At 42.1% G+C, this 12340-nt stretch overlaps 1 protein-coding gene and 1 non-coding gene across 9 annotated transcripts in view; one reads left to right on the top strand and one right to left on the bottom strand.

Annotated features, from left to right (window-relative positions):
- SORBS2 (sorbin and SH3 domain containing 2) overlaps positions 1283–12340 on the top strand; it is a 370850-nt gene continuing 359792 nt past the window's right edge. For all 8 annotated transcript variants that reach the window (NM_001394255.1, NM_001394267.1, NM_001394264.1 and 5 more), the window contains exon 1: positions 1283–1459. The gene's annotated coding sequence lies outside the window, so the exon portion shown is untranslated. The remainder of the gene's footprint in view (positions 1460–12340) is intronic.
- Positions 11469–11572, bottom strand: LOC124900909 (small nucleolar RNA U13). The gene has a single exon (XR_007058551.1). It is a non-coding gene; the product is annotated as a small nucleolar RNA U13 (small nucleolar RNA).

Genomic DNA, 12340 nt, shown 5'->3' with positions numbered 1-12340 from the left:
TTGTGGGTTTATGGTTCTTAAAATAAAAGCTTTATTGTCATTTTAGTGGGGCTTTGTGAGGGAGAAAGGGTTAAATGTATGTGGTCAATTCACTATCTTCCATTTGATGCCTCTCATTTTTAAAAACAAAACAAAACAAAACAAAACTGTCTGGGTGTGGTGGCTCACGCCTGTAATCCCAGCATTTTGGGAGGTTGAGGCAGGCGGATCACCTGAGGTCAGGAGTTCGAGACCAGCCTGGCCAACATAGTGAAACCCCATCTCTACTAAAAATACAAAAATTAGCTGGGTGTGGTGGCAGGTGCCTGTGATCCCAGCTGCTCGGGAGGCTGAGGCAGGAGAACTGCTTGAACCTGGGAGGTGGAGGGGGTAGTGCGTGGAGATCACGCCACTGCACTCCAGCCTGGGCAACAGAGCAAAACTCGGTCTCAAAACAAAGAAACAACAACAAAAAACAAAAAACAAAAAAAAACAGAAAGAACAAAACAAACCAAAACCCCATTGGGGACTTTTCAATACCCTGTTCTAGGTCCTTGACCAAATTGAATCCAGTACATGGACAGGAGATGATGAAGGTGTACTTTTGTTCTTTTCTCATTTCACTACTTTTGTAGAGTAAAAGATTTGATTTTTCTTTCTGTTACTTGTCTTCTAGAGATGCTAAGTCAGGCTTTACCTTTTTGTCTGTCATTGGTCTTTATGTTTTTATTATCAGAGCTATCTAAAATCAACCATAACTGTCTTAAGAGCATTTTGTGTAAATGATTTATAACACTTTCTTGAGATGGCTTCAGCAGCCTTATTCAACTGCATCTCCTGGCACTTTTAATAAGCCTCTTAATATATTCTGTCATCCCCATCTGTTTTGATTTAAGGTTGATTATACAGACACGCAGTGCTGCAAAAAGCCACCTGATCACTTCAGTAGGGTGTTAGGCATGCATTAAACTCCAGGTATTTTCAGGGAGGAATCATGAAGCCGCTCCTGTTAAATCATATCCATTTTATTACGTCTCTCCTTGTGGATTACGTAGAACTTTGGAAAATTAAACATTAGACATCTTCATAGAAAATCATGTCACTGATTTTTAAAGCCAGCTCAATTTAACCTGCCACTGATTCCCTAACCAGCTCTTCTCTGACTGTATCCCGAGGGAAAATGTATTGAACGCAGCAGAAGGTTAAGGCAGAGGAGTTCGGCTAGACCGGGTAGCAGCCAATCAGATGGGGAGGGTCCAAGGATCTGATGCCTCCAGGCGAGCAGCGCCAAGCTGAGCTGGTTAGTCTCCTTTTATTGTGGATGAACACCACGTACATGCCGTAAATGCTCCCTAGGCTGGCTGCGGCTACAAGGCAGACCCGGGAGCTGAGAATAGAGGAATACCTGCCCAAGCAACTCATTCTGCACAGCAGCCGACAAGACAGCGATTTTCCTGTGCTGGAATGTGCCCATCCAAAGGTATCACTTCCTTTTCATTGAGTTTCTATATTTCTTAAGAATTACGGAAAGCAGAGATGCTGATCCTGGAGGAAGATCCCTGCTTTCTAGTAATGCTTTGTTCCTGTTCTCAGGCTGAGTGCCAGCTTTAAAATGGTTAACCTCTGGGGGAGAAGCTACTAAGCAGAATAAAGGAACACTTTACGTTGCTTAAGCTGACTGTGCACAGAGCTTTTATTAGGATGGATTCTTTGTTACTCTTGCTATTGTTGCGAAGGTAAGCTGGTTACAAATGCAGCTTTCAACCATCACATTCTGCTACCTTTATAACTAAGGAGACCTGGGGGAAGACCTGGGGTGGGGGTGGAGGGTCTAGTATCTCAAAGGTTGCTGCAATTTATCAGCCTCAGAGAGAAAAAAGGCCAAATTGCTGATCAAAGGTAGAGAAAGAGCATTTGGTTGGTATGAGGATTCTTCTACCTTAGGACACAAGTTTTATAAAAAATGAACACTGCATATTTTCACTGTGCTTAATAATTAAGATGCCTTAATTATCATTTATAACTGACAGCTGGTGTGCTCGTCCGAAAGTCATCAGCGTGTTAGGCGCTCTTGTTTCAGTTGCCAAGGTAATTGGAAGGATAATTTAATATGTTAGAGTAACAAAAGACCCATGAGAAACATATTGCATTAGGTGAGGCATGAGATTGCTTTGTGGAGCGTTTATTTCTGAGAGTGAGTTCCTTCTTTTGTCTCTTGGCCCCATCAATTATCTGTTAGAAGGAATAGCTATAACAGGGACTTTCATCATGTACCATGCAGTTGAACTAACACAGTTGTTTCTTCTATACAGTAGGCAAGATTCAGTTTCTGTCTAAGACATTAAATTGTTAGTCATATGGAAATATTTCCCGGGAAGTTGTTCATTATCCTCTGTGGGACAAGTGACATCACACATCACTGGGTTATGAATGGTGGCTTGAGTGAAGGAGAGAAAGTGTTTTCTCGGGGAGCAGAAATGAATGCAAAGAGTGCTCTGCTTCATTTCCTAGTGATCTCTAAGAAACATGGCCCATTGAAATGTTAAATGTCACAGCAAATTATCAGGGCTAACATTTTATGGTATATTTGTGGAAGCTCTTATAAGTCATGCAGATGCTTTGTGTAGTTATTTTTCTAAAAGAAGGGACATATTAAGGCATTGATTATAGTTTCTAAATTGCTAGCCCGGTGGTACTGTTTTTTTGTTTCTTTGTTTGTTTTTGAGATGGAGTTTTACTCATGTTGGCCAGGCTGGAATGCAATGGCAAGGTCTCTGCTCACTGCCACTTATCTGGTTCAAGCAATTCTCCTGCCTCAGCCTCCTGAGTAGCTGGGATTACAGGCACCTGCCTCCACATCCTGCTAATTTTTGTACTTTTAGTAGAGTTGGGGTTTTGCCATGTTGACCAGTCTTGTCTCGAACTCCTGACCTCGTGATCCGCCTGCCTCAGCCTCCCAAAGTGCTGGGATTACAGGTGTGAGCCACTGCACCCAGCCTAGCATTATCTATCTTTAATAGCCAACATTTGAAAATAATGAGTGCCAAACAATAAGAGACGCTTCGTTTATTCATTCAGTATTCATTTATTTACTAATTATGGTCTGGTGAGTGAAAATACACTTCGCCTCTGTGACAACATCAATTATGCTAGCTTGATACACTTTGTGATTTTGTTTCTCAAAATATTTACAATGTACATAATTTTATTTATAAAATATAAGCAAGTAAAATGGAAATGTACATCTAATATTTAAAAAGCATTTATGTGTAATATAATTCACTATCAAAATAATACAAAATTAAAATTCAAAGTTTTAAGATTTAAAAATCAACTGTAAGATAAAAATAAGATTTTTTAAATGTATGTGAGATTATTGTCTTACTTATTTCTATGTTTAAAAGGCATTGCTTTTGAGAAGGTGTATTAGCCCATTAATCAGATGGTCACAGGGAGTCCATTAGCAACCTTGATGAATGGCAACGGGACTATAGAGGGGGTATTATTTTGCAGAAGAGAATACAGAAGGAGGGTATCTTGGATGATAAGAAGTGTCCTTATACCTGAGATATATAAAATCTATTTCTAGTAAAGAAAGAATAAAAAGAACAGGCAGATTATAATCTTTAAAAATAAAGTTAGCATCAATAAAACATTCAGGACAGCAAGAGATGAGTTAACTTAAGGAATGGATTAAAGCAAAAGAAAGGACGTCTCCCTCCGGGATGTCCTCCAGGCATGAGATAATGGACCAAGGTTGGCCTTGGACACACACAGGTGTGATGGAAAGCCCAGCTCTGCGCCTACTCCCTGCCCACACCGGGGAGATTGGCCCTACTTGGGCAGCTTATGAGAGTTGCAAGAAATCCACATAATTATAAGCAGTTCATGTAAATATAAGAAGGGTGTAATTATAAAGGTGTGATAAAATCGATTCCCACCTCACTGGGGATGATGGAGTTGACATGATTACTCCTGAGAAGAGGGGCCTGGCTACGGAGCCAGCAACAGAAAGGCCCTTATTAGCGTCTTCATCTCTGTCCTCACCCTCGCCAGTCTCTTTCATCTTTCAGCTGACATCTAGACTTCTACCTTTTGAGAGTATTGCCTTGGATTTAATGCTCTGAAGCCTATGCAAATGCAAATAGCCTTGGGAAGTACACTTTAACACAGGGTCCCACCTTGGTGTCCTGGTGGGACTGAGCACGGAGGCTGTTGGGGAATGCTGAGTAGAAGAGAGATTTTTCCAAAGGAAGGGTGGAAATACCAGACCAAAATGATGCCAGTGAGAGAGGAAGGGCTGACTGGAGAGCATGGAGTCTGGGAAACATATTATTATGATTATTATTGTTTGTGTTTTTTGAGACAGAGTCTCATTCTGTCACCCAGGCTGGAGTGCGGTGGCGCAATCTCGGCTCACTGCAAACTCCACCTCCCGGGTTCAAGCAATTCTCCTGCATCAGCCTCCCTAGTAGCTGGGATTCAGGCGTGCGCCCCTGCACCTGGCTGATTTTTGTATTTTTAGTAGAGACGGGGTTTCACTATGTTGGCCAGGCTGGTCTTGAACTCCTGACCTCAGGTGATCCACCCGCCTCAGCCTCCTGCAGTGCTGGGATTACAGGCGTGAGCCACCGCGCCCGGCCTGGGAAACATTTGAAGAGACCAACATAACTTAATAAATGCCCACAGAGAGACCTACAAGTGGGCTGTGGGCCAAAATGAAGTTCGAAGCTCAGGCTGTAACCTTAATGGGAATGTGACACACACACATTTTCTTTTTCTCGGCCACCTGTGAGGATGTTTGCTACGAGTGGTGACTCATGCTGTTTGTAGGAAGAATTTGTTTATTGGTTTGAAGGGGAATAAACTAGAGGAAAAATAAATCAAATCTAAGGGACAGAACAACATTTTTTATTTTTTGCCAGGAAGAGGCAAAATGTGAGGAGATAATGTGAGGAATGGCTTTCTTCAAAATTAACGCTGTCGGCATACATGATGGACTTTGATCTCAACAAAGAACGATACAGCCTCTGAGCAGGAATAATTTTCAGATTTGTGCAACCCTCCAGACTCTCCCTATTCAAGGGAACTGCACTGCATGCCTTGATTTTCTCAAAGACGAAATGAATCCCATATACTCCCACCTTTAGGGCTTAGTAGTGATTAAATCTAGAGAGGATTCCATGCTACTCAAGGACCAAATACTCAGGGTATTGCCCAGGCATGGGCAATGGGAGGGCCCGGTGTTCTCAGGTGACCTCTACCTACTGGCCCAGGCCTCAGTACCACCTTTAATCCCACTGAAATGCAAACACCTGGAGGTGAAGGGCCACTATAAAAAGCTATTTTGCCAGGCTTGGTGGCTCACACCTGTAATCCTAGCACTTTGGGAGGCCGAGGCTGGTGGATTTCTTGAGGTCAGGAGTTCGAGACCAGCCTGGCCAACATGGTGAAACCCTGTCTCTACTAAAAATACAACAAAAATTAGCCAGAAGTGGTGGCACACGCCTGTGATCCCAGCTACTTGGGAGGCTGAGGCAGGAGGATGGCTTCAACCTGGGAGGTGAAGGTTGCAGTGAGCCGAGATCTTGCCACTGCACTCCAGCCTGGCGACAGAGTGAGACTCTATCAAAAAAAAAAAAAAGAAGCTATTTTAACTTTCTTCTACCACTTTTGATATTCTGCCATCTTTTTACAATTTTGGGGTTGTTTGTTTCCTTTACCAGATTGGAATTCTTCCAAAAAAAGAATAGAGTTGGGCTTCTAATTTATGATTGCCTGGCTAGCAAAATGCCTGTCACATAGAAAATATTGCATAAGTATTTGTTCAACTCACTAACCCGATTTATTTCCCAAGAAGCTCACTGATGCATGCACACTGAGCTACCAAGCTGCCTAAGTTACCCGATGGGAAAGGTGGCCAAATTAATAGTCTCAATTTGACTTCACAATACAATCTGCAAATTAGGAAAATTTACCTTTGTTCAGCATCTCTCAGCAAACTTAGGTCAGTGGATCCTGGCACCTTATGGTACTGCTGATACCAGGGAACTGTGTTTATGCCCAAGCAAGTCTGACAGATCCACACTGAGAAAATAACAGGTTACTGTCATCTATTAGTGCAGGAGCCTAATCCTGAATGTGCAATGTCAGGGAGGGCTGTTGAGAAAGGTACAAAGGACACCAGAAGTATCTGCCACCTACTGGGAAGTGGGGATTGGCTTCTAAGAGGGATGAAGGGCAGAGATGACAGGGCAGCAGTACCCGGGCAGTGAGCTGGGCTGGAGGAAGGCCCTGGATTAGGAGGCAGGGTGATGGATCCCACGCTAGTCATCAGAGAACACAGCCATTTGTCAGACATGGGAGGCATGGTCCTGTGTCGCCCTCCACAATTTCTTAAACTCTTCTCATGTCTGTTCAAAATGCTTGTATGGACTGAGAAAGGAAGCCAAGTGTATGTTTTCCCTGATGTGCCTGAAGTGGTAGCGTGATGGTACATACCTGTTAACAGCTGGGACCGTGTGATTCTAAATCCTGTTAAGGCAGGCAATGAAAAACAATGAAGCGCTGGAAGGGTACCAAGAACATTTGTCTTGTTTTGTTGAGTATGATGTCATTGAGGGATCACTTGCAGTAGCATCTGGTTTCTGACCTGTGAATCAATCCATCTTACATTCCATCCATCCTTCCTTGCTTTAAACTCTATCGGTATTTTTCCTACCAGCAGCACAGGGGAAATACTTATAGGGGTTCATTCAGTGAACGTTCAGCATCCTCTGGAACCATCTGGGAACCCTATTCCCTTCCTATTCTGCTCTTAGAGACATTCAAGCTCCTTCCCTCAACCCCAAAAGAGCAGATATCCGCCGTGCAGGCCATAGTGCGATTTCCAAAGTGTCTCTCTAAGGAATATTCAGCCTGTTCTTAGAGGAAAAAAGGGCAACATTATTAAAACAGAGACTCTCAACAAGTCCAAATGTGTATTAAAAATTAAAATATTGTTCACAGCCTGGTCTTGTGTTAAGGCTCCAAATATGCATTTTAAAAAATCATTGCTGAAGTCCTGGAAGGGGCATTCATCACTCCTGAGCCACACCGTCAGGCACACCTGAATTCTAGGGAAATATTTGAATAAAGAATCTCTATGAGGTAACTTCTGGAAATTGCCTCCAAACCCTCAACCTGCACAGAATATAGAGGTTCTCTAACCCACTCTGGTCTCTTTTTCCATTAACTGTGGCCAAACCATGATCTTCTCCCTAGACTACAGCCTCTCTGAGATTTTATACTTCATCTGCCTCTAATTCCATTATGTTCTTCAGGTCTGGGATTACTTCCTAATTCACTATCAAAAATTGATTCAGTGTTGAGCTGTAGCCCAATGTTACTTTACAAATTCATTCTCAAAGTATTCTTTTTTTTTTTTTGAGACAGTCTTGCTCGTTGCCCAGGGTGGAGTGCAATGGCACAATCTCGGCTCGCTGCAACCTCCGCCTCCTGGGTTCAAACGATTCTCCTGCCTCAGCCTTTCTAGTAACTGGGATTACAGGTGCCTGTCACCATGCCCAGCTAATTTTTGTATTTTTAGTAGAGATGGGGTTTCACCATGGTGGCCAGGCTGGTTTCGAACTCCTGACCTCATGATCCGCCCGCCTTGGCCTCCCAAAGTGCTGGGATTATGGCCGTGAGCCACTGTGTCTGGCCTCAAAATATTCTTGATAGGATCAGTTACCAGTTGTAGCAAAAACTCTTTGTTCTTCTCTTCCCCTCTTCTTGGCATCCAGTTATTATGGTGAGCTGCTGGACCCTTGATTACTTGAGTTTCGCATGATGAAAAGTCAGTGAGCATTGTGAGGATGCTATTGTTGTCAGTTATAGTTCCCAAATAGGTCTCAGATTCAGCATTTTCTTTGAATTTCACACTGTGTTTGTTTAGACTCCTGCATCTCTCACCAGACAACTGCTTTACGTTTTAATGGGCTTTTCTGCTTGTAAGACTCTTCCTTCTTTCATCTATTATCCACACTGCTGCACAGTTATGATTGTTAAAATTCAATTTTTTAACATTATTCCTTCCCTTAAAACATGTCAGAGGGCCACTCCTCACTCTGCCCCCCGCCCCCTTAGTCTAATCTCTTCCAAAGTGTGGTTGCAATCACGTGGACTTTAGTTAAAACCCCGACTGCACCATTTTGGTAGTTGATGACTTGATTTTTATGTGAATGAAGTGGGATGATATCTATCTATGTTGCATTTTACTTGAGGTTTAAATAGGATAATGAATGTCAGGTATCTAAGATGCCATCTGTTTCGGAGTAGACACTGACAAAGTTGGAAACAATTATTTCTGCTCGGGTCCAGTCCAGATTCAATACTGGGTGTACCACCAAAGAGACTTTCATTCTCTGACACCTGCCTACCATAGCAGCCTCCTGCTCCTCCCAGCCCACTGCTTCCTCCTGCAATTTTATTCTCTAGCCGTACTTGGAGTTCTCAAACATCACATGTGGTTTAGTCTGCATTCCTCAATGTTTGCCATTATATGTGCTGTTTCCTCAGTATGGAATACAGCATCTCTCCCCAACCCCCCTCCTGTTTCCTGGAAATTTCTTGTGCATCATTGAACACATAGATAAAGAGCACCTGTTTCTTCTCGGTGATAATTCTTTATACCTTTTAATAACTCTTCAAACATTTGATAATCCTTTCTATGTGCCAGGAGCTCTTTTAGGTGTTTTAAACATTTTATCTAATTTAATATTGATCACCTTTCACCTTACGAGAAAAAGAAATGTAATGTTTTTAATTAAAATGAAGTACAAAAGAAAAAAATAACAATTTAATATTTTGAAATTCATAGCCTGGCGTGGTGGCTCACACTTGTAATCCCAGCACTTTGGGAGGCCGAGGCGGGTGGATCACCTGAGTTCAGGAGTTCAAGACCAGTCTGGCCAACATGATGAAACCCTGTCTCTACTAAAAATACAAAAATTAGCCAGGAGTGGTGGCGGACACCTGTAATCCCAGCTACTTGGGAGGCTGAGGCAGGAGAATTGCTTGAACCCAGGAGGCAGAGGTTGCAGTAAGCCAAGACTGTGCCACTGCACTCCAGCCTGGGCAATGGAGCAAGACTCTATCTCAAAAAAAAAAAAAAAAAAAAAAAAATTGAAATTCATTACTCTCCTAATCACAATGTACTGTCTTCCCCATTACATTTATGAACTACTGGAGTGTGGAAACCAGTGATTATCATAGCTTGAATGGATGAATGAACAGAAAGATAGATGGATAGAAGAAAATTGGGAGGGCTAATGTATATTAGGGGAGGTGAAACTGTTTCCTGAGATGGCCAATATTTTAGGAAGGGAATTATAACAAAGCCCAGAAATGCCTGAAAAGATGCTATGTAAACAAATAAATAAAAACAAGGTAAACCAAGCTTAAACCAGGATGGTCTGCTGCAGATTGGAGAGATTCAGGTAAGCTAGATGGCCTGATAGGAAACTAAGAACAGAGAGAAGCTGCATCAGAGGATTCCTGAAGGAAGAGTCTAGGATGCACTAAGAATGGGCTTCACTTCCTACAGAAACGAGCCAGAGTAGCCTAGATGGAAAACAACAACAACAACAAAAATACATTAAAAAAAGAACCGGCCTCTTTAAGAATTCATAATATATTTGATTAGCACTTCCTTAGTGCCGGGTTCCATGCTAAGCACATTACATGAATTGACTCATTTGAACTTCCTTTAAAAAATCTCAAGAGGGCGGGGCGTAGTGGCTCACGCCTGTAATCCCAGCACTTTGAGAGGCTGAGGCAGGCAGATCACCTGAGGTCAGGAGTTCGAGACCAGCCTGGCCAACCTGGTGAAACCTCGTCTCTGCTAAAAATACAAAAATTACCTGGGTGTGGTGACATGCACCTGTAATTCCAGCTACTTGGAAGGCTGAGACAGGAGAATCACTTGAGCCCAGGAGGCGGAGGTTGCAGTAAGCTAGACCACACCATTGCACTCCAGCCTGGGCAACAAGAGCGAAACTCCATCTCAAAAAGAAAAAAAAAACCCAAGAAAAAAGAGATTTTGTAATCCCTATTGTGTAGGTGAGATGACCGAACTGTAGCCAGACTAGTGTAAGACCACAGAGCTGGCAATTGGAAGGTTGGGTTGGAACCCAGGTTTGCCTCACTTTTGCCCTTTAAGACTCTGCAGTTCTGTCCCTCTAAAGATACTGTAGGAGATGGTTTGGGCTAGAAAAAAAAGTGAATTAACCTAGGAAGAAAAGACCTCACATCACCTCCAAAGTTTGAAACTAGAGGAAAATCAAGAAATGCAAAGCCCAGGAAATTAAAATATGAGAAGAAACAGGCTTCCGTTCCCTGCTAAACTCATTGAGGATTGTGAGATTTCCCTGACTATAGTACAGATCCCATAAGAGTGCCATTACTGTGGCAGCGAGATTGCTGTGGACACTGAAGACCAACCACATGCACAGGTTGCACTTTTCCTGGATAAGGGGTAGGGAGAGGATGGAGAAGGAATTCAAGAAAACTGAAAGGGGGAAAGCTATAAATGCCAGGGCCATGAACTGCGGAGACACAAATCCTCCTTTTTCCTTGATCCGATTTTACCCTGGATATGTAATTGTTGGGGAATGGAGTAGAAATTGATGGGAGGAGGTGAGAACACTAAGTCATGGGCCAGGTACCCATCTGTTGGGGTACACCCCAGGGAGAGGTTTGGTTGTATGACCCTGGCACACATAGTCAGGGATGAAAGATGATTTCTGGAGTCAGGGAGCAATCTGACAGGTCATCATTTTGCATTTTATTTAATTAAGTATTTTTATCTGTTCAATGAAATAAAAAGCCAACCGAAGGTTTTATTGTCTTATTTGGCACTTTAATTGAAAGATATGTGCTGTAAAATATGTCTTATTTACAAAATTAGGTTCAGATGTACATTAAGTGTTGAATTTATTCCATTAATATATTTTGAAAAGAATGAGTTCATCATTTAGAGGAGAAGCAGGGTGGATGAGGAGATGGAAGGATGTTTGTTTGTTTACTTTGCTTTGTATTTCCTTTGCTGATGTTTTGATTAGAACACTACAAAGAAAAGATATTTGGAGATGTAAATGGGCAAGAAATGTCATATATTGATTTTTCTGGAATTCATATCTATGTCTAACTCTCATCTCAAGTTTTAAGCTTCATCCATTTTCAGGTTCTTACAGATGCTAAACTTACAAAACATATTTGTAGGCTTGTTGCTCTTTCCAACCCATCCCTGTTTCTTCTATTCTCACCATTGCCTTCGCTCACACTCACATTTTTTTGTTCCAATTATGGCAATAACCTTGTGATAGGTTTCTAGGCCTGCCTCCTCCAACTTCTACATACTTGCCAGAGTTGACTTTCGAAAACACACATCTACTCATGTTCTCTTTTTCCTTTTCTTCTTGTTTTTCCTTCCCCACCCACCCCCCCAACATCCTATGGGTGCTGTACGGATGTGGTAACAAGCTTTGAGGGAGACACATGTCACACACATGCATAGAAACCCAATCATCACACCTATCAACCCCAAAAGGATCACTTCCTCATGTTAGTAACTTTCTTAAACTTTTTAAAGATAGCCCTTTATTCTCAGAAGAAGGTCCAGCTTTGCTCATGGATTACAAAGTCTTGACCATCTGTCAACATGCGAGCTCCCAACAGCCTCTGCCCCATTGCCATGAAGCTGCCAAACACATGGTTCTTTTCCACCACCCTTGCCTTTCTGACTGCTGCTGCTTCTTCCTGGAACATCATTCCCTACCCCTCCATCCCATCAGTCACTTCTTACTCCGGCCCGAAGCCCTCCATTTCCGGGCACATGGCACATCTCACAGCAAGCCCCTGCTCACACACTTAGCCAGCATGGATCAGATATCTGTCCTCTCTGCTCATTCAGCACCTGTTTGTGTTTCTAACATGTCAACCATTTTTAATTTATGTTTGCCTGATTCTCGAGAAATGTTTGTTGAGTGAATAATGACAAAAACAAGAATTTCTAAAATGAAAAGGGCAAAGAACATATATTTCCTATAGTAATATAATCAGTGGAACACTAGAAGAGGATCTGTAGATGAAATCAAATTTTCTTCCTAAAGGTTTACCAAAATTGTGCAATGATCGGGAAATAACTTGGGATTTGAATCATCATCATTTTTCATTCTTGTTATGAAATGTTGCCTATTAAATGTGCCTACCCTTGACCTAACCTCAGTCAAAAATTTAAAGACATAGCTAAAAAATTTGCTAAGTCATATGTTATACCTTTTATTTGTTGATAATGCTGTCCAAATATTTGGTTTGGTTT

Source organism: Homo sapiens, chromosome 4, assembly GCF_000001405.40.
Source record: "Homo sapiens chromosome 4, GRCh38.p14 Primary Assembly".
Classification (NCBI taxonomy): Eukaryota; Metazoa; Chordata; class Mammalia; order Primates; family Hominidae; genus Homo; species Homo sapiens.
The sequence above is the reverse complement of the archived record's forward strand: the minus strand, read 5'-3'. Positions and strand labels throughout refer to the sequence as shown.